The sequence below is a fragment of the Homo sapiens genome, chromosome 4 (genome assembly GCF_000001405.40).
Source record: "Homo sapiens chromosome 4, GRCh38.p14 Primary Assembly".
Lineage (NCBI taxonomy): Eukaryota > Metazoa > Chordata > Mammalia > Primates > Hominidae > Homo > Homo sapiens.
In genome coordinates this window covers 168243354-168266592 of record NC_000004.12, presented here as the reverse complement: position 1 = coordinate 168266592, position 23239 = coordinate 168243354, and the positions used below count along the sequence as shown (strand labels likewise).

General features: G+C 37.0%; 1 protein-coding gene across 7 annotated transcripts in view; it reads left to right on the top strand.

The window, feature by feature from the left end:
- Nucleotides 1-23239, top strand: part of DDX60 (DExD/H-box helicase 60) — a 109686-nt gene that overhangs the window by 59387 nt on the left and 27060 nt on the right. For 4 of the 7 annotated variants that reach the window (XM_024454132.2, NM_017631.6, NM_001410861.1 and 1 more), the window contains 8 exons: nt 3806-3910; nt 4465-4593; nt 5604-5728; nt 10724-10882; nt 13937-14084; nt 15487-15639; nt 18301-18405; nt 19975-20175. In XM_024454132.2, the coding sequence (XP_024309900.1) occupies nt 3806-3910; nt 4465-4593; nt 5604-5728; nt 10724-10882; nt 13937-14084; nt 15487-15639; nt 18301-18405; nt 19975-20175 (1125 nt within the window). Of the gene's footprint in view, nt 1-978; nt 3780-3805; nt 3911-4464; nt 4594-5603; nt 5729-6076; nt 6079-10723; nt 10883-13936; nt 14085-15486; nt 15640-18300; nt 18406-19974; nt 20176-23239 lie in introns of those variants that run through there. The other 3 variants (XM_011532104.4, XM_017008384.2, XM_017008383.2) reach the window with 3 other exon arrangements.

The following is a 23239-nucleotide window of genomic DNA, read 5'->3' as shown; positions in this document are numbered from 1 at the left end:
AGTCATTCAGATACTGTTCATCTTCCATAATTCTTCAAATGTGAAACCTTTTCTGAATTCTTCTCTGACTTTCTTAGCTAGATGTAATCTTTCTTCTCTCAATAATACCTTGTCTGTGTTTCTAATACGACACCAGCCATGATGAGCTTACTGCTTAAGTTGTTTACATGCATATAGTCTTTACTTACTAGAATAACTCTTTGAAGACAAATTTTGTGTCCTTCATTTCCTAACAAATTGCTATGTATATAAAAGGTACTAAGTGTATGTTAAATAAGAACAGCTAACCTAAATTGAGCACTTACTTCATGTTCTAAAAATTCTACGTTTTTAAACCTCTTTTAACCATTACAACAATCTTATGATAGATGTCTTAATACTATTCCCACTTTACAATGAGGAAAGTGAGGCATAGAGAACTTAACTAACTCAGTGTTGCATCATTAAGTAAATGGTGGGGCCAGGATACAATCTCAAACAAGTTGGCTTCTAAAAGCAAGCTGGCTGATGGTAATTTTCTAATAGGATTTTGTTATGGGAACTTATCTCTTGTGTGACAATGGCCCAATCCAAATTCTAAATAAACCTAAATATGGACAAAATTCTTGTGACTTAACTCATACCCCAAATCTAGAATATGGATGATAACCCACATATAAGAATAAAAGGCACTTTATTCTCTCATTTTTCTTTCTCCCTTCCCTTCCCTTCCCTTCCCTTCCCTTCCCTTCCCTTCCCTTCCCTTCCCTTCCCTTCCTTCCCTCCTTCCCTCCTTCCCTCCCTTCTTTCCTTTATGATATCCAGGAGTTATCTGACATTTTCATCATTATGTGGCATTTTAAAAACAGTATAGTTTTTAAAAATTATTCTGTGTAGGATGGTTCAAGGCAGATTATCTTTAAGCAGCAATGAATATAGTGGTTTGGAGTACTTGCTGAAATTGTCATTTTGGTCCAAGTGCCTTTCCTCTATTTTCAGTAGCTATTAATGGAGTAACTGGAAAGCAATAGAACTGCTACAGTGTGCTGTGACCCCAGATGACTTCTGCAAAGGTCATGCTGTTGTATGAGTCTTCTTAAGATGTCTAGACTTTTGTGGCAGGAATGCAGAATGAACATAAAGACTTAGGTATTAGTAAGTCCGTTTTGACAGCTGCATGGTATAGCATGTGTTTATATAGGACATATCCTAAAGAAGCAGTGATAAAAACCAAAGAGACCTTTCAACTGAGTAAATAATTCCTGGTCTTGTGTAGTCCATTTTTCAGATTAATATGAAAAAATGGAGTGGCAAGAAAAAAACATAATAAACTATGGCAACATAAGAACGGCCATCCACCTGGGTCCTTTCCTCTATAGTTGTAGTATAAAAATGATTTCAGGAGTGGGGGCAGGACCAGTGAGCTGATCTGAATCCAACCATGGTGAGGGATCGCCTTCAATCCATACATGGCTTGTTTCTGGCTAAGGACAGTGTCTTTGGCTTTTGGCCCAATTTTCATGCCACACAGGAACAGCTGCTGACTCCTGGAGAGCTATCAGCCCCAGGAAGTCCTTGAAAGAACTGCTATCTATCTGTTTCTGCTCAGCATAGATCAATGCCTACCGTCACCTATGACATTAGGGACAATGTGGTTTACAAAAATAGCATCATGGTATAATACTATTGTGTTTATAAATAAAGAATGGTACAAATCTGTGACCTTTTATTTCTCTTCATTTTCTGCCTAGACTCACTCAACTTTTGCAGGATCATTAGTCACTGTGTAGTGGAGAACAACTGAATTGGATCCCCAGTATTTAGGCATAGGACTGTTAAACTGATTTAAAAGATTAAGAACTATAAGGGATAATTAGTCAATCATATTGATGGCTGTGGCATTAATCATATGCCAGGCATTTTACTAAGTCTGTTACATATGTTATCTAATATAATTCTCATAAGAAATCTATGTCACAGGCAGAATTATCCTCCATTTTAGAAATGAGGAAGCTCAGACCTCTCTAAAAGGCTAAGAGACTTAAGAAATCATAAGCATTCTAGCTAGCAACCAAAAACAGAAGATTTATATTTTAAAATTATAATAAATCTTGGATTTATTGTATGTTTTTATTTTAGATAGGTCGAATAAGTAACCACTTTCAAGTAATACCTAACAAGAGAGCAAGATGCCAACATTACAAAATAATAGGTGTTTTGTTTTATTTAGTATGTTGATATAATATAGTCCTTAGCATTTAGCTATCTTTCAGTACTCCAACTGAGATGTTAAACGATGATTCCAGGAATTGTTTTACGTTCTATAGTTTTAAAGGTTTGAAGAACATATGTTGATTTTGTCTGCTCTCACTGCAGTCTTTAGGGTGGAAGTAAAAATATTGTATTTTCATTCCTATATTATGGATGAGGAACTAGCATTTACAGGTGCAATTAGAACCAGATCTTCTGATTCATACTCTCCTGTACTTTCCATTCTACCAAACATCATCTCCAGTTTTTTTCAACTGTGTTGTGTTTGGAGTGGCTTTTTTAGCCCCGAAATTTGAAGCCTGAATTTTAAAACATATTAATAGCTATTTACGAAAGCAAGTGCCCTATTGTCAAATTATTTTGGATAAATTTGCATGCTATATTTACTTCTTTGAGGTTTAACATTTCCAGTGAGAAATCCCAAAGAATCCTATTTGATACAATATATATCATTTCTCTCTCTTTTTTCTTTTTTGAAGAATACTCTCTTAGCCCATTCAACAGGCTTCTGTAACAAAAATATCACAAATTGAGAGGCTTTAGAAACAAAGATTTATTTTTCAGAATTCTGGAGGCTGGGAAGTCCAAGGTCAAGGCCCTGGGAGATTTGGTGTCTTGTGGGGGCCTGCTTTCTGGTTCATAGATAAGCTGTCTTCTTGCTGTGCCCTCACATGGCAGAAGGGACAGGGGAGATCTCTGTGGTCTCTTTTATAACAGCATTAATCCCATTCATGAGGGTTCTTCCTTCATGACCTAATCATCTCCCAGAGGATTTGCCTCCAGATACCATCACATTGGGGATTCGGTTTCAATATGTAAGTTTTGGGGGAAGACAAACATTCAGTCTATACTACATTCCTATTAACATCTCAGAGAGTATGTTTCTACATGCAAATGATTTGTAGCAGTAGTGATTGAAACCAGTAGAAAATACTACAGTGAAACTTTTTGAGAACAGGAATTTTTTATTTCCACTTAAAAATATTTGTGGAAAAAATGAATGGCATACATTATTAAGAAGACTTAAAGCAGACCTGTCAGTGACCTTTGGGAGAAATTTCTTGGAGTCTTGAAGGTGGTTTAAGAGCCTTTATCTTGAAGTTGACCCAGTTCTTATCTTGAAACTTAAGCAAATAAGATTTTCCCATTTTAGCCTGGCTTGGTACACATAAAAGTAAAGAATCACATTCTTAATTACATCAGTTTTGGTGTTAGCTGTAAGATAGAAGTTATGTATTGTCTAAACTGAGTCCACAAATCTTTCAGCTTCCCATCGCTCTGATTTCAATTATGAAGTCAGTTCATAGAAAATTAGCACAATGAAAAGGTCTTGGGAAGTAATATTAAAATTTTTTGGTGGGCTTTTGGCTTTTTTCCCTCTTTTGTGATTCAGGGAACTGTGTTGATAGAATTTGGTAGCATTTAGCACCTATCAGCATTTGAACATTTTAGTTTATTGCCTTTCAGTGTCTTTGGGTTATGATAGTGACTAAGAGGCAAAGGATACGACATAAAATAAAATAAAGAGTAAAAATTTTAATTTTATTTTAAACAGATTGAAAGGTATGGATTCCCTCCTGATCTTACCCTTTCACCTCGAGAAAGCATCCAGCTGTATGATGCCATGTTTCAAATTTGGAAAAGTTGGCCTCGGGCCCAGGTAAATAATAATGATGTAATTAATCCTATTATAGAGGATGATAATATTGACAAACTCTCACCCTTTCTAATCACTGGCATCTAATCTTTTAAAATTATTAGTTGACTCTTCCTACAATAAGAGTGCCTCTTCTCATATTTCTAACATTATCTGTTTGTTTTTTAATGGGTTTTAATTTGTATTTTATTTAATTCCTGAGAATATTTCTTCTTTTTTTTTTTTGAAATCTTTTCAACTTCTGCAACTTCTAGAACACTATTATATTTCAGTCTTCTTACACCTTAGATTCATATTTCTTTTTATTACACTTGCTTCCCTTCTAAGTCCCAATTGCTGTTTGTTTTCATCTTCTACTTTGTTTTGCTTTGTATCCTCTCTTTTGAAGAGCTCATCCATCCTAGTAACGTTATGCATTAGAAGCCATGTGGAGATAAAAAGTTTAACCATCTCTGTGCTCAAGAAACTTGTAAGGCTGTTAATGAGGCATATAATTGAGAAATACTTTTGGATTTTCTTGCATGATTGTGCCTAATTTTGTAATATTTGTTTTCAAGGAACTGTGCCCAGAAAACTTCATTCATTTTAACAATAAATTAGTCATTAAAAAGATGGATGCTAGGAAATATGAAGAGAGTCTAAAGGCAGAATTAACAAGTTGGATTAAAAATGGCAACGTAGAGCAGGTAATTTTCATACGCTTTTTGGCCAAACTTTATTTTTGTTGTTTTCTTGAGTTATATCATTCAGTTAATACCATTTTCTGATTTTTTTTAATCCTCAATTTTTATTTTAGAAATTTAAGTTGAACTTGAAGTCTAGTAATTCTGAGATAGAATAAAAAGAGAAAGTAAACTGGTCTTTGTCTTATCCTCAGTGTCTTCTGAACCATGTGCCAGAGGCTACTGGTTGCTTCTAAATGGCATAGCAGATAAGAACAGAAGGTTCACTATCCATAGAGATGATATTGTTGATACTTTGGCAGTAGAGAAACTGAACTCACAGTAACAGTCTCTGAGAAGATTGTTTTACTCCTCTGTCTTTTTTGACTTGCAGTTTATTGTCCTTTTCTTCTTCTTATTTCAAGTTGTAGGAACTATTTGTGTATTAAAACTTTACCTGGAATTATATAAGTTACAGATATTTGTTTTAATAAGTTGATGGTCTTCATATTTTGAAATTTGATTTATTGGCACAGATTGAGGAATGACATATATTAGACTTTTCTCATTGGATTTTTTTTTGTTGTAATACCTTAATCTACTCCCATTCAAAAACATAATATAATTGAGTTACATTTTCTTCTAGCTATTCTGTCATTTACAGACCTTGAAAATATATTTGGATGTGATTTTTTGACATAATGTAGAAACTGATTCACACTTGCCCTCCTGTCATAGTGAAACCAGCATCATTTGCTGAAAAATCCTTCTATTCCTGATTTGTATTGTCTTAAAAATTGCAGGTTAAATTGCATATGTGTGTATATATTACTGCCAAATTTTTGTTCTCTAGTGTATGGGTTTGTATGTTTCTTTGATGGTTCTTTGCCTCGTTTTATAATGTACTTTCATAGGACTATTTTAAAAAAACCCAAAAACATATATTAGACAACTATGAAAATATTTTAGCAAAAAGTAGTAATTTCTTTCTTTCTCATGCAGAACTTAAAATTGTTTTGTATTCACCACTACAGGCCAGAATGGTACTTCAGAATCTTAGTCCTGAAGCAGATTTGAGTCCAGAAAACATGATCACCATGTTTCCACTTCTAGTTGAAAAACTAAGGAAAATGGAGAAGTTACCTGCACTATTTTTTTTGTAAGTTATTTAATTTAATTTGGTTTTGCTTGTAATTGTATTAGACTCATTCCTTTAAGGCAGAGGTCCCCAACCTCCAGGCCACAGACCATCACTGGCCCAGCCCATGGTCTGTTAGGAATTGTGCCACAGAGCAGGAGGTGAGTGGTGGGCCAGCGAGCATTGCTGCCTGAGCTCCACTTCCTGTCAGATCAACCCTATTGTGAACTGCACATGTGAGAGATCTAGGTTGCATGCTCCTTATGAGAATCTAACGAATGTCTGGTGATCTGAGGTGGGGCAGTTTCATCCTGAAACCATCCCCCTCGATCCTTGTGCACCACTTCCCCACCGCCACCCACTGCCAAGTTGTCTTCCATGAAACCAGTCCCCGGTGCCACAAAGGTTGGGGACTGCTGCTTTAAGGTGAGGGGTGTTATACAAAGTTCCCTATCGTAGTGCGGTGTTCATTACTATTTCTGGGACCCATTGGTTATTTGAATACATACGTTTTGTTTAAAAACCGCATGTTCTCACTCATAGGTGGGAATTGAACAATGAGAACACTTGGACACAGGAAGGGGAACATCACACACCGGGGCCTGTTGTGGGGTGGTGGGAGAGGGGAGGGATAGCATTAGGAGATATACCTAATGTAAATGGTGAGTTAATGGGTGCAGCACACCAACATGGCACATGTATACATGTGTAACAAACCTGCACATTGTGCACATGTACCCTAGAACTTAAAGTATAATTTTAAAAAAAGAAATTAAAGACGACATAGAAAAAAATACAACTTTCTAGTTCAATTCTTATATTTGTATTTGTGCTATTATGAATTACCTTCTTTATTTAGTTTGCTACTCTATTTTTTGTTTTCTTTCTACTGTAAACTATTATTTTTTATTTAGCCTTGTTAATTTTTAATACATAAAGGTTCTTTGCAAAACAAATTGAATATATATGCACACAAGTATCCCACATAAAATTAAAGTATCTTCACAATATACTACTTATTGACAGTGTATTTTATTATATTTAATTTATAGTAATGAGAACTCTGATCCAGATACACTGATATCTTGCTAAATTTTATATATTATAGTATCAAATAGCTTAAAATTGAACAAAATAGTGCAATTTCGTTGGACATCAAAGTATAATTTATTAAATGGATAACATACTAGATCCTGGATTAACTTTGGTAACATAGTTTGGGACTAGAACACAATACTCTATTTACTTTGGGCAATTTCAAGCTACACTTAAGCCATGGAAGCTGAAGTAAATAAATCCAGAGTCTTTGTTAGGTGGAAAAGTTTAATGAAACTTGCTCACATGTAAACAGACATATAGGGATGAATCATTGATGATATATTTCTGAAATAACGATGATGGGTGAATGTAAGATTGTGTTTGCAAATTTGGGGGATTGCAATAATATTACTCCTTTTATCTTTGTTGTTGGGATAAGGAAAATACATTTCTGCACTGCCAAGGATTTACAAAGCTCACCCATTTCACTTTCAAGTGTGGCTATAGACTGTAATTAGAAACAAAAGTAATTCTGTACCTCTGGGATATTTCTGAAAGCCTCACTGCAAAACAGAAACTGAAAAATATCTGTTTATTATTCATACCTTCATACAAATATAGGGGAGGCAAAATTTTACTTCTACCACCTTAGGCTTTTTTACCTGGGCCTCAGAATTAGACTGATATAAGACAAATCAATAGAAAAGCATGCACATGTATGTAGTATGTTTTATATGGTGCAGAAGGCTCCATAAGGAGTTGAAAACCCAACGATGCAGTTAGAGTTGGACACTTACATAGTGAATTGGACAAAGAGTGGTAAATTGTGAAAAATGTGACAAAGTAAAGGGGTGTAGGCTAGGGTAACTTGGGTGAAGATGTGACTAGGAAGGTAAGAGTTAGTTTAACAAGGTTTTTTAGTATAGATTTCCCTTGTCTTCAAGTTCCCATCTTTGAAGATAGGAGTGTTACTGTCCTTCGGGTATGAAAACATATTTTTGTGGGCATTTAATCTGCTACTTTTAAGAAAAAGAAAGAAGATCAGAGTGATCTTCTTGACCCTGCTGTTTTTTCTAGTGCTTTCAACTCAAAATAGTTAATATGCCAGAGTGGTATATTTTGGGAGTAGCATGTTCCAAAATCCTTCACATACTTAAAATATTTTAAAACTAAAATATTTCAGAAAACATCAAAAGTTTAATTATACTTGAAGAATTGAAGCTTGGCATGTTTATATGACTCTTGAATTCTCTACAAAATAAACTGTGAACATCCTTGGTATTACACAATTTGATCCCAGATCATCAAGAGATCTGAGGATTTTTCTGGGCTCAAGTTTTACCTCTAGGAGCTTTTCAAATAGTAGTGTACCCTTAAGCCTTTTGCAGTCTGATCTCTTAAAAAAAAAATACATGGAGCATATTCAGTGTTTGATGGCAATGGCAGTGTGTGCTTAAGGGCACACACTTCATGGCCAGACCCAAACTTGGATCCCACCTCTGCCCCCATGAATTGTGTTATTTCTGGACAGCTACTTAATGACTTTAAGCCTTAATTTACTTATTTGCAAAATGAGATGATCAGAATAATAGTACAAAGGATTGGAGTGAGAATTAAATAAACATAAGTTATGAAAGCACTTAGTACAGTGCTACAAAAATGTTATTGAATAAGGTCTAATCTCTAGGTCGCATTCATTCTTGTATACCAGGATGATCCCTTTTTGTCAGATCCAAACAGACTGGAGCTGAGAGAGCATGAAGGCGGGTTGTTCATGCTTGCATGGCTGAGATAAACTGTCTCAAGGACTTTCTAAAATAATCCCACAGGCAGTTCTTTATTTACTGCTGAAGCAATTCAGATAAGATGCCCTTGAAAGAACACCCACCCAGTAATGGCATCTCCACCGATAAATTGATGCCAGCTCTGGTTTTGCGTCTCCAAAACCAAAGAACTGTGTTTCTAAGCAGCTTATGTGAACTTCCCCTTTTGCCAGTACAAGCTTCCTTTTATCTTCCTCCCTTCAGATACATATGTGGCTTGCCATAGCTGTGCATCTTGGGTTATAATTCTCATTTCTAATTCCAAATATAGTCAACATATTTGGAGATATTTTTTCTTTGGTTTTGTTTTGGTTGACATAAAATGTAGGTTATCAGAGAGATTTAAGAGGCAACATTATTTCTAAGTGATCTTTGAACAAGAGTTTTTTAAAAATGAAGTGCTATGATGAAAGTGACACTATTTTAAAAAGTAATATATTCCTAGGCCCCAGTAACTTGCATTAATGTAAAAAGAGAAGCAACATATGTCAGTTAAAAACAGGATTTGAGAACAGGGGCCTGCAGGCCAGACTCTGCCACATATAAACTGTGGGCTCTTGGGCAGGTCACTGAATCTGGCAATAAGGATATTAATAGAAATATTAATATTAATAGTGCCTTCTTCATAGGATTGTTGTGAGTACTAAATGAGTTAACATACTGAAGTCACTGAGAATAATGCCTGACAACTGTGTATAATTTTTTTTTTTTGAAGGGCGATGGAGTTTTACTCTGTCGCCCAGGCTGGAGTTCAGTGGTGCAATCTCAGCTCACTGCAACCTCCACCTCCCAGGTTCAAGCAATTCTCCTGCCTCAGTCTCCCAAGCTGGGATTACAGGCATGTGCCACCACGCCCAGCTCATTTTTGAATTCTGTGTCACTGTGTTGTCCAGGCTGGTCTCGAACTCCTGACTTCAGGTGATCTGCCCACCTCGGCCTCCCAAAGTGCTGAGATTACAGGCATGAGCCACCATGCCCGGCCAACTGTGTATAACTTGAATTTTACTATTACCATTATTTTATTGTCTACTATATGAAATTTCTTGCCATGTGGCATAGACTCTCAGTTTTAAAATTCTTACTTCACCAGTGTGCCAGTTTATTTACTGTTTAGTAGCTAAACACATTTCCTTTTGATGTTAGCTCTATAAAAACTTTAGAAAGGCCCTTTGCTTCACAACATAGATTTAAAAAGCTTTATTATACAAACCAAATCTATGACTTGCTATAATAAGCTATGGTTAATATAGTGGCAATAGCTACTGGCTACTTGCAGCCACAGCATTTTGCCACCAAGATGCAGTGGAGAAATAAGACCTCCCTGGGCTTTTCAGTGCTCCTGTAAAAAGCCCTAGCTTCTTGACACAGGGAAATGCATGTGAAATAAACATAGGAAATGTTTGCCTTTACTTCCTCTAGAAACATTTTACTTTTCATGTATCAGGAGAATTTGATCTGCAGCCATTTGTCTATAAATGTCTAGCAATTTGTAGCTAATTGCTCAGATCTGAGAAAGCCAACCTAGACCAGGTTGCTAGGTTGAGCCCCAGGGTGCCAGGAAGTATGGATCACTATATTCCTAGGTATTTACATTTCAAGAAGTATAAAGCCCAGACCTTGGAGACATTTCTGCATTGCAAAGTCCAGCAACAACTAGGGTTTATTCTTTGGGAAAGAATCATAGGTTCTCACCTTCTACCAAAAGAACAATTTTTTGTTGATTAATCTTTTTTTTCTCATTTTTAGAGAAGGGTGGTGTTGGGGATAGCTATCTGTCTTCTGCATATAAATGGAGATAAACGGAGAAAAACCATTGTTCTCTGTTCCTTGCTTATGGAATATTTGACTACTCTTAGAGGAAAAATTTCCACGAGTTCTGATTGCATTGTCCCAGGGGTAATGTCTGGGTGGCGGGGTGGGGTGGGGGGGAGTGGGGAGGGAGAAGGGGAGGGTAGGCAACATTATTTACTATAAGGTAGTTAATAAGGAGTCTGCTGATTCAGAACACCTGGTGTGCACATTCTGGGTAACATTTATAAAGGTGGGTATTAAAAACCCAACAGGCAGATGTCGGGATGATAGTAGTAGATGGAAATATGGTTTTGAATTGTATTTATGATGTTATTTTCAAGGCGCACATTCTTTTTATTTCCAGATTCAAGTTAGGAGCTGTAGAAAACGCAGCTGAAAGTGTGAGCACTTTCCTAAAGAAAAAGCAGGAGACAAAAAGGCCTCCCAAAGCTGATAAAGAAGCCCATGTCATGGCTAACAAACTTCGAAAAGTTAAAAAATCCATAGAGAAACAAAAGATCATGTAAGTAGTTAACTAAACAAATTGATAAGTAGAGGGTTAAAATACTCCCCAAGTCCTAGTAGGAAACGTAAATTGAATATGTTCTATAAATAAGTTCTAGTTGTCGCTTGGACTTATTTCTAAATTGAGTACATTTGGGTGAGAGAATGGGATAAAGATGAGTGACCATAATTGTACATTCATTCCTTAATTGCATCAATCAGCCTCATTTAGGACTTGGGAGAGGTAGAACCACAGCCTGTCAGCCTAGGTAGATTTTATAACCTGACATAATCATCCTACACAATAAGCACATCTTTGATACATATATGAACTCTGGCTATCACTTAGTTCTCAGAAGGTTTAAATATAGACTACACACTTTGTCTTTGGTCATGACAAAGAAGTCTCACTAATATAACATCACAGTTTTGTGAGTGATCATAAAAAGAACTTGAGAATGGATGGAAATGCTGATTTGATGCCTGGAAAGACTTAGCTAATATAACATCTCTTCCTTGCTCTCAATGTCTAATTCTGTCAACTCTAGGGCCAAAATGTTTATCCCCTCTCTATGATCCTCTCCATCTTAAGTAACTTCCTGGCTTAGAAGCTCATCATATCTTGCCTGGATGATCACAGAGGTGTTTTTTTTGGACTTGAGAGCCTTGAGGTTCACCACTCTCCAATCCAGTCAACAAATGATCTTGCACACATTTGAATTGATTAAATTATCCCATGCTCAATGTTCTTCCTTTGCCCTCGCTTAGCTGATGAAGTCTAAGCTTCTTTACCATTATGCCAAAATGTTTTGGTATTTGCCTTAACTCGATCAGTCTCACTTCCTACCACTCTCCTCTACCAATACTCAATATTTATGATTCTCCTCACATGACTTACTTTTCTACCTCTTCCTTTCCATGAACTGACCCATCTGCCTTGAGTGCCCTCCTTCCTGATTGCTCCCTTTTTGGTATCTCATCTCTGAATCTTTCCTTGATTCCTGCAGTTAGAATTTCTACCCTCTCTCCTATGTTCTTCTACACTTTCAATAGCTAGTAGATCAATTATTGTAATGTATTGTTGTTTATATGTATTTCTTTTTCCTAAATTTTAAGTTCCTTTTCAACAGGAACCGTGTATTTTTCTTCTTGTGTCTTTAGTGCTTAGCACATTACCTGGCAGGTAATATTATTCCATAAATATATTTGAATGAATGAAAGATATTTCTCTCCAAGTTGAAACAGCTTTTAGAGCATTTCTGATTTAGGTTTTCCAAATTCTAGAGCAAACTAGAATTTGCTGCTGATCCTTCTGCTTATATTTCCTCTACCTATTTTTCTGTTTCCTTAGAAGCATGGGAGGTAAAAACCCAGGGACAGCATAGGAGGTGTAAGCCTTCTTAGTGACTTCAAGTTATAAAAATAAAGTGAGGGTGAGGGGACCCTTTAGATAGTCCCACTCTGGCCTCTTCCATCTGCATCCATTCCCATAAAGCAAGGGGCCAGTGGAGCTAAGGAGACATGCCCACCCGGAGCTCATTCTCACCCTTGAATTCCAGGTTATTATGGAGCTATATTTGTCAAGGTAGGTGGATAGAATTTATTTTATTTGACGGTTTATTACCTTGACTAAAAACTTACAGTGAGGCAATAATATGTGGAGCTTTGCCACATGCTCTGCAAATTTTAGGGCCAGGCCCTTCCATAGTCAGAGCGTTCTCCCCTGAGTTAAAGGTAACGTTACTTAACACGTAATGATGACATACAAGTGAGCACATCTTCTCATATTTAGAATTGTCTTCCGTGCACAGCTAAGAGAAAAATTTAAAAAATCAAATAAGTGATAAGTGACTTGGGTGCATGTTACATTGAGGGGTGATGGATGGACAACACAGTATGATGATACAATAGTCTAAGCCAGGGTTTACGGAGGAGTCTTCTAGGTAGATTCCTAGTAGCATACACTGAGATGAGGATATCTGTGGAAGGGATTTATTGAAGGTGTGTGCTCATGAGGGACCTATGAGAAAATGAACGAAGCAAGAAAGGGAAGGTGAAGAAAAGCAAGAATGTGGCTTCTGCTAGAATATAGCCTGATTCTAACCCTACTGGGAATGCCAGGACACCAGAGAATTGCCCCACCTTGAGTCAAGGGGGCTGATTTTTATACTTCATGTCACTCAGACATTGGGTGTGGGCTATTTCCCATCCCCAGGAGAGGTCGTAACCACCCAGGCATCTCCAAGAGGCCTCTGTCAGTTTAGGGCAATTGTCCAGGGAATGGTGCAGCTGAGAGCCTTAGCAACCCAACTCAAAGCAGCTGTAGCATCCACTACAAGGAGGGAAGGAGAATGACTAGAATTGGCAATGTGGAGCAAGGAGAATGCCTACCTTACATCCAAGCCCAGGGTCATGAAGGCCGAGGAAGAGAAAATGATCATCACTTTAACAAGGAGAAACAGAGTTATCTTGGGAGAACTGGGTTTGGCAAGACTACAGCCAGAAGGAAAAGGAACATCCCAGAAAATATCAATATGTGATAGAATTTTCTCATGATGGATCATAACATCCAGAGGCTGAAAAGGAAGGGCATTAGAGGAAGACTGAGTTATTAAAGATGCACAGCAGGCCGGGCACGGTGGCTCATGCCTGTAATCCCAGCACTTTGGGAGGCCGAGGCAGGTGGACCACGAGGTCAGGAGTTCAAGACAAGCCTGGCCAACATGGTGAAACCCCGTCTCTACTGAAGATACAAAATTTAGCCAGGTGCGGTGGTGGACACCTGTAATCCCAGCTACTCGGGAGGCTGAGGCAGGAGAATTGCTTGAACCCAGGAAGTGGAGGTTGCAGTGAGCTGAGATCACGCCATTACACTCCAGCCTGGGTGACAGAGAAAGACTCCATCTTGAAAATAAAATAAAATAAAATAAAATAATAAAGATGCACAGCCGTGGAAGTCTGGGTGAGAAGACTGACTTGGGAAGTCTTGGGCATCCTCTGGTGGCCAAATCAAATTAATTACTTCATTCATTATTTACAATTTCATTAATTAAAATTTTATTTTTATGAACAGAGATGAAAAGAGCCAGAAAAAAACCAGAAATGTGGATCAAAGCCTAATACATGAAGCTGAACATGATAATCTAGTGAAGTGTCTAGAGAAGAACCTGGAAATCCCACAGGACTGCACATATGCTGATCAAAAAGCAGTGGACACTGAGGTCAGCACTTACAACCTGATCGTTCTCCAAACTATTTCATTTGTCAGCCATAGCTTGTTAGTTGTAGATAATGCTTAATAAGATATATGCATAATATAATACATAATTAATACAATCCCTACCAAAAGAGAACTCTCCTTTAGCTACATATCACTCTTGAATGCTCTGCAGTGCATATCTAAAAAGGACATAATAGTCTAAGCCAGGGTTCATGGAGGAGTCTCCTAGGTCAAATTCCCTAGTAGCACACACTGAGATACCTGTGCAACAGATTTAGCAATTGTAGATTATTTCTTGCCTGTTAACAGTTCACCTCTGAAAATGTTTGCCGTTTCGTTATTTGTTTCTATTACATTGTTTCCACAGCCTGAATTCTAGACTTCAATTTCACATGCTGCATTTGAAAATTTGGGTGCATGTGGTCCAATACACTTTAAGTAATATTCACAGAATTTCTCAAAATCAGGGGCTTTTTACATTATAGCTAAAACACCAAAGAGGCATTGGAATAGCTAAAACTGGTATGCAGAAACCTTTTAAAATGCAAATTACTCATGCTTATAGTAGACAAATTTGAAGATATAAATATAGTAATAATAAAATCAATGTCATCACTCATAGTACTCACTGCCCTTCCAGACCAACCTTTTATCTCATTTTCCTGTGACTATACACATACAAACTTACATACATTTTGCGTATGTGTGTACACATATATGTATCATTCTATTGTGCACCTTCTTTTGTAAGCTTCATGGTGTCTTATTTTTTATAACCATGTATTTCGATCATCATTTTAATGAATACTTGATATTCTGTTGTGTGAGTGAATACATAATTGAAGTAACCACTAACCAGCCTTTTGCTTTTGGAAGCGTTTTTTTGTCGCTCTTCCTTCATAAGCAGTGTTCATCTTTGTCCATGTATCTCTGGACACAACCGTATTTCTTCTTTAAGACCTGGATATTTTTAAGTCCATTTGTGCTCAGTTTCAATGGGAAGTAGGCATTCCCGGACCACATAGGGTAAGGAACCTCCTCTGCCTTCTTGGAGAATTCTCCCTGTTGGGGAAAACTCCTGAGGCTCCAATAGCCAACTGATATCCCTCAGGCAAGAGCAGTCATGCACTCACCACCACTTGGTGTTTTATCTGCTACTTTGTCAAAATTTTCTGCCCCAGAAGTGGAGTAAGACAGTTTAAGATGGTCTGTCCAAAGAAGTGGGAAGATTTTTCTTGTAGTTACTGTTGCTGCCATAATGTTCTTTGTATTCATGTAGAGTCAGTTTCAAATAGTTGCCTGTTTAGCCAAATTATTACATAGTATGCATGTTATTTTCATTTAGACATTTTTAATTATAATTAAAATTAAATCATAATCCCTAAATGTCTTGCTTCTTTTAGACTTTGCAGAAGGTATTTGGTCGAGTAAAATTTGAAAGAAAAGGTGAAGAATTGAAAGCCTTGGCAGAAAGGGGTATTGGATATCATCACAGTGCTATGAGTTTCAAAGAAAAACAATTAGTTGAAATCCTCTTTAGAAAAGGATATCTTAGGGTAGGTGAATTTTCTTCATTCTAAAAATTGAAATTGTGACTGTTTCAAGCTGAATGTTCAGGAAAAGTAAAGAATACAACCACCATTTTTCTTTTTTTCTCATGTAATTGTCTTTTAAAAAAATAAGTTGGCCGGGCGTGATGGGTCATACCTATAATACCAGCACTTTGGGAGGCCGAGATGGACGGATCACCTAGGTCAGAAGTTCGAGACCAGCCTGGCCAACATGGTGAAACTCTGCCTCTACTAAAAATACAAAAATTAGCCGGGCGTGGTGGCAGGTGCCTGTAATCCCAGCTATTCAGGAAGTTGAGGCAGAAGAATCGCTTGAACCCGGGAGGTGGAGGTTGCAGTGAGCCGAGATCATGCCATCACACTCTAGCCTGGGGGACAAGAGCAAGACTTTGTCTCAAAAAAAAAAAAAAAAAGTCATGATATCCTCTGTCTTATTTAATTGAAAAGGGGATTGAAATGTACTACTCAGTTTATCTCTTTTTGTTTGTTTGTTGTTGAACCTCCTGAGTAGCTGGGATTACAGGCATGTGCCACCATGCCCAGCTAATTTTGTATTTTTAGTAGAGATGGGGTTTCTCCATGCTGGTCAGGCTGGTCTCGAACTCCTGACCTTAGGTGATCCGCCTGCCTCAGCCTCCCAAAGTGCTGGGATTATAGGTGTTAGCCACTGCACAAGGCCTAGTTTATCTCTTTTTCATGAGAATAAAAATATTTCCTAAATAAATACTTTGGCAAATTTTTCTACCATGAAATATATCTATGTTCTCTCTCCTATCAGTGATAATGAACAAAAGGAATACTAAAATAACTTTCAAACTGAAGTCTTGCTATGTTTTGTGTAGTGTGTCCCATGACAGTGCGCAGGGATTTTCTGGATAAATTCATGAAGGAGCTTTATATGGTTTGCTTGTAAATTTGGATCTTTAGTAATATTCAAAAATAGACTGACTTTTAAAAATTATTCACATTGAATTTTGTATGACATATATTACATTCACAAAAGAGAGAGAGGAAGAAAGACAAAGAGATTGAGATTGTTTCTGCTACTCTAGGTAGCATCTTTTAAACTAAATGTTGAGGAAAATCTGACATCATAGTTAAAAATCCTATTCCCTGAAAAAAAAAATAAGATGTAGCATTTGCAACTTTGCTATGCTTTTCTCTTAACTAATAACAAATTATGTATCTCTTTTAAAGGCTAATAACCACGTACAATATTTTCTACATGCTTATGAATTGATAGAAGAGAGAAACACCTATTTTGATCAGGGTATTCTGTGTTTAAAATAGTACCTGTTAAATAGTAGTTGCTCAATTACTAATAGGTTAATGAGATCACTCCACAAAAGGTACTATGAAAATAGTGACAGCTTTGCTATAGAGAACATTTTTTAAAAAGGTATTTATTCTAGTTATTTTCTAAATGTATTATTATTTTCTACATTTTTGTTCTTATCAAAAAACTTGAGAAAAACAGGTAATAAATGATGTGTTGCATTTTCGCAGATATATAGATTTCAGTTACAGAATAATTACAGAAAATCACTCCGTATACTTAAACATTAATACTAACCATTGGCATGTATGACAATCAATATAAAAAGAAAGAGAAGATGATTAGAAATACCCAGCATTATATGAAAAGAGGATTATCTAAGTAAACTTTTAAGTTTGTCCTGCTCCTTTTCTGCTCAGTTATGACAATTTAGGGGGGAAAGACAACTTTTTAAAATTACTGAGGTATGCTTTTTCCATAGGCATAATCTCAACAAATTTTAGTAGACAAAATAGGTAATTGTCCAAAAGTGGATTTGTAAAAGTATTATTGCCCTATCATAAAAAATTTTCTTTCTAGTTATTCATTTAAAAATATTTACTGGGCCTGGCGCAGTGGCTCACGCCTGTAATCCCAGCATTTTGGGAGGGCAAAGTGGGTGGATCAGCTGAGGTCGGGAGTTCAAGACCAGCCTAGCCAACATGGTGAAACTCTGTCTCTACTAAAAATACAAAAATTAGCCGAATGTAGTGGTGGGTGCCTGTAATCCCAGCTACTTGGGAGGTTGAGGCAGGAGAATCGACTGAACCTGGGAGGTGGAGGTTGCAGTGAGCCGAGATCGTGCCATTGCACTCCAGCTTGGGCGACAAGAGCGAAACTCCGTCTCAAAAAAAAAAAAAAATTACTGAACACCTATCAGTTGTCAGGTACTCTTACGGATGCTGTGGATACAATAATGAATCTTGCTTGGAGTCTGGTATAAGACAAGTGAACAAACAAGTAATATTATTGAGGTAGTCATTAATGCTATGAAGATAAATCATGTGAGACAGAGATAGATAATGATGGTAGGGGTGGTTATTTTGGATGTGGTGAGCTACAGATTCCTCTGTGACATTTGAGTAGACAGCTGAAGAAGCCAGAGAAACGAATATTTGGGGAAGAATATTCTGTGCAAAGCAAACAGCGCATTTGGGAATGTACTTGTGGTGTTTGTGAAATAGCAAGAGTACCAATGTGTCTAGTTTCTCTAGCTTTCCCATTGTGGCTTAATTGAAGCTCAAAGAGTTTTTCAGCAACTTTATGACAGGAAATACTTGCATTCTATTAAAATGCTATTTTATGAAGTAATTGTTTTATTCTCTTTCAAGGTGGTGACAGCTACTGGAACACTTGCTTTAGGTGTCAACATGCCTTGTAAATCTGTGGTTTTTGCTCAAAACTCAGTCTATCTGGATGCGTTGAATTATAGACAGGTATTGCAAAATGCATAAACTTGCTTATTGTATTGCTGAAATATGGCCATAGCGTAGTAAAACATGTGAACCTTTAGTTTACAAACATGCCACAATTCACAGTAGCATAACTGGACATTCATCCTTGCCTGGCTTTCAGTTTTAGTTGTGGTATAGTTGAAAGCACCTGCATTTGGGATTGTGTGATTAACCAGATGTGTGACCTCGGATGAGATATCTGAACTGCCTGATTCTCATTTTCTATCTCCAAAATATGGGTAATAATTACTCTCCCACGGCATTTGCAAGAATTAAATAAGTGATTTGTATGGAAGATAGACATCAAAGGTGCTTGATAAGCATTTACTCATTCATTTGCTGTGCACAAGATTTTGCACTCTAGAATTATCTTTAATGCTGACCTCATCTTTACTCCTGACACCAAATCTGTTACCAAGCCCACTTCATTACTGTCCCATAGAGGTATTTGATTTTTGCCTTGCAATTTCTGTATCCACCATCTTTCATCGTACGTTCTTAGCCTTGTATTATTAGTACAATTCCCCTGATTCTCCATTCTCCTTATTCTACCACGTCCTGCAGACAACGTGGTTTATCTTCATACGACCTCCCTGCTCAGAGACATTTGATAATTATTTCTGCTCGCAGAATCAAATTTAGATATGTCACCCACATGCAGGTTTTTATCAACGCGCTTCCCTCCCTTTATCTCTAAACACTTTTTGTTCTCCTTATAGGCCTTGTTCCTACCCAATATAACATTCTTATATCATTTCCCAGCATGTTAACAACCCCTGCTTTTTATTTCTATTGCTGCTGCCATACTCTGAATCAATTCTTCTGACTCATTTTTGGGAATCTTCTCCTTTGGGCTCTTGAGCTAGGGTGTTTGATATGTGGGATGACGGACTTGGGAATTGAAATGTCAGGGTTTGAGTTCTAGATCTTCCACTCTGTGGTTGTTTCAGTATGGGTACGTCTCTTACATTCCCAGTGCCTTACCATAGTCTAAGCACTTAATAAATAAGAGTTAACATAAGCTCTGTAAAGAGTTTATTCATAACTTGCTTTTTCACAAGTAGCATTTCTGAATTTTATTTCACTCATGTATTTATTCTGTTTGTGCCCATATTTTATTTTGTGATTTGTAACTCAACACACTTGTGTGTGAGAGAGGGTAGAAAAGGGATGAGAGATGGGGAAGATGGGCCGGGAGAGAAAATTGGTATATTAGAGTTCAGCTGTAAGTGATTTTGACATCACTGCTTTGCCAGTGTTCTTTGTTTCTTCAATAGATCATTATTTCTTTGATATATATTACACAAATGCCTACTGCAATTAATGGCATGAAATACGTACGTAATGATGACAGATGTCTCAGTTTTTAGATCTATCTCAGTCATGGCAAATTTCCTAAGCACTATGTAGTTGCATGTTAGTGTCCGTTCCTTAATGGTTAGACATATGCACAATTTCCATGCTCCAAACCAGAGTAAAGGGCTCATTCTTACACTATGGCAGTAGAAGCATTTAGGGAAGTTTTACATTGTAATTCTATTCTCTTTTCAGATGTCTGGCCGTGCTGGAAGAAGAGGTCAAGACCTGATGGGAGATGTATATTTCTTTGATATTCCATTCCCCAAAATAGGAAAACTCATAAAATCCAATGTTCCTGAGCTGAGAGGACACTTCCCTCTCAGCATAACCCTGGTCCTGCGACTCATGCTGCTGGCTTCCAAGGGAGATGACCCAGAGGATGCCAAGGCAAAGGTACCGTGCTGGACACTGCCTGAGGTTCAGTCTTCATCACTGGCCTGACTTTAGTCAGGTCTGCTGTTCTTTTAGAAGTCTGTAGCAATCACCCTTGAGTTTCATCAGTCTTTTAATGTTTTGTAATGTCTTGAATCGTATAGAATTGGGGGTAGCTAGGGAGAATAACAGTTTTGTTTGTTTCCACCATCAGACATGGAATTTGTGGCTGGATGGGCACTGAAAATTACCCAGGATTACTATTTTCAGGTGTGAAATGCAGTGTCCTATAATAGTTAAGTGCTGGCTATGGATTTAAAAAGCTCTAGGTGACTAATAGACTCCTTTCTACCATTTAGAAAGAAAAAAATATTTATTTTTATGATTTTGTAACAAAAAGGTTTAAGTGTTTCATAAAAAAAGTAACTCAAACTTAGGAGTATGTGGGAAATGTAGAACGTTGAAATAAGGAAAAAGTGCCCCTGTTCCACTCCCCAAAGACATTCACATTATCATTTTTTTTTTCAGCCAGTTTTCTAGGCATGGGTGTGCATTTGATTTTTAAACACTGATATCGTTGTATGTAACTGAACTTCAAAATATGGTTGTAAATGTGTCCTGATGTGTGTTGCCCAGATAAAAATTTTGTATCCAATCCCTCAATGACAGACTTACAATTCATAATTACATAATTTGATTCTCATCTTTATGGAGATGCATTGTTAATGATACCTGTTCTTTCTGTTTTTGTATAGTGATTAACATGCCCAGTTAAATCAGATACTGTTTTCTGAAGGGGGGATTCTTCTAGGATTCTTTTGATGAGTTGGCTGATCCTACAGAGCAGTCATACATCATTTTTAAGACCAAAATTTCCCCATTCTTGAGTTCTTCATTTTTACCTCTCTATAAAGAGGAGTACATCTTCTAATAAGGTTTCTTATTTTTTTAAATGGTTATCAGGGTGGTTCATTTTCTTTGCTTTGCATATTTGGGAAGACCCACATGTAAACTTCTCACATATGGGACTCTTAAAAGTGGGCATAACATTCTTAGAATATTATTATCTTCATTCATCAAATCAAACTAAGATTGTTTCCGTTGCCTTCTGGCATTTAATGTTTTACATAGAGGAGCCATGGCAGTTTCTGTTTTCTTGCAGTTAACTTGATATTTTTTTCTGTTTATGCAATTATATGAATCTTTTTCTTTATTCTATTTCAAATGTTTTATTTCCTATGATTTTCTATTTTATGGATCCTTTAAAAATTGATGTTTTAGTTATTATATGAGACCTTTCAATCTTCATGCTCAGGTTTTTATTTATTGCGGTGAAATGCATATAAAATTTACCATCTTAACCATTTTAAGTGTACAGTTCAGTAGTGTTAAGTACATTCATATTGCTATGCAATGCTCAGGTATTTTTTAAATGAAGAAGAGATCCTTGAATTGTATCTTTGTTATTTGCTTCTGTTAATTGTTCTGTTGTTTTTTCAGGAAAAGTTATAATTTTTAAATTGAAACCCACTTTTCTGTTTTTCATTGCTATTTTTTTTTATGAGAAAACATAAAACTTACCTTCCATATCACTGATGGTCTTAAGTGTCAGTTATGGCTCTTCATAATGCAAATGTGGATTTTAGTTCTGCTACTACTGGACTTTTGTTTTCCTGAAATTCTTTTTTTTTCTTTCTTTTTTCTTTTCTTTTTTGAGATAGAGTCTTGCTCTATAGCCCAGGCTGGAGTGCGGTGGCATGATCTCAGCTCACTGCAACCTCCGCCTCCCAGGTTCAAGCAATTCCCCTGCCTCAGCTTCCTGAGTAGCTGGGACTACAGGTATGCGCCACCACACCTGGCTAATTTTTTGTATTTTAGTAGAGACAGGGTTTGACCATGTTGACCAGGATGGTCTCGATCTCCTGACCTTGTGATCCACCCACCTTAGCCTCCCAAAGTACTGGGATTACAGGCGTGAGCCACTGCACCTGGCCCCTGAAATTCTTTACTACTCCATCCATCACTCTTTTATATCATAATAATGTACTTTTTAAATGTCAATTTATATTGTCTCTATACCATAGGCTGTAGTGCCAGTGCCTTGTCTCAAAGAAGTCATATCATTTGGCACCCATTAAGTATGACAAATAATTTTTTCTTTTTTTCCATCTTCTTATATTATTTTATTTTAAGTTCTGAGGCACATGTGCAGGATGTGCAGGTTTGTTATGTAAACATGTGCCATGGTGGTTTGCTGCACCTATCAACCCATCACCAAAGTGTTAAGCGTAGCATGCATTAGTTATTTTTCCTGATGCTCTTCCTCTCCCTGCCCCAACAGGCCCTGGTATGTGTTGTTCCCCTCCCTGGGTCCATGTGTTCTCATAGTTCACCTCCCACTTATAAGTGAGAACATGTGGTGTTTTGTTTTCTGTTTCTGCATTTGTTTTCTGAGGATGATGGCTTCCAGCTCCATCCATGTCCCAACAAAGCACATGATCTCATTCCTTTTTATAGCTGCATAGTATTCCATGGTGTATATGTACCACACTTTCTTTATCCAGTCTATTGTTAATGGGCATTTGGAGTGATTCCATGTTTTGCTATTGTGAATAGTGTTGCAGTGAACATACACATGCATATATCTTTATAATGGAATGATTTATATTTCTTTAGGCATATACCCAGCAATGGAATTGCTGGGTCAAGTGGTATTTCTACCTCTAGTTCTTTGAGGAATCTCCACACTCTCTTCCACAATGCGGTTGGACTGATTTACACTCCCAGCAACAGTGTAAAAGCATTCCTGTTTCTCTGCAACCTCACCAGCATCTGTTGTTTCTTGACTTTTTAATAATTGCCATTCTGATTAGTGCGAGATGGTATCTCATTGTGGTTTTGATTTGAATTTCTCTAATGAGTGGTGATGTTGAGTTTTTTTCATATGTTGGCTGCATGTATGTCTTTTTTTGAGAAGTGTCCTTTCATGTCCTTTGCCCACTATTTAATGGGTTGTTTGTTTTTTTCTTATAAATTTGTTTAAGTTCCTTGTAGACTCTGGATATTAGACATTTGTTGGATGGAT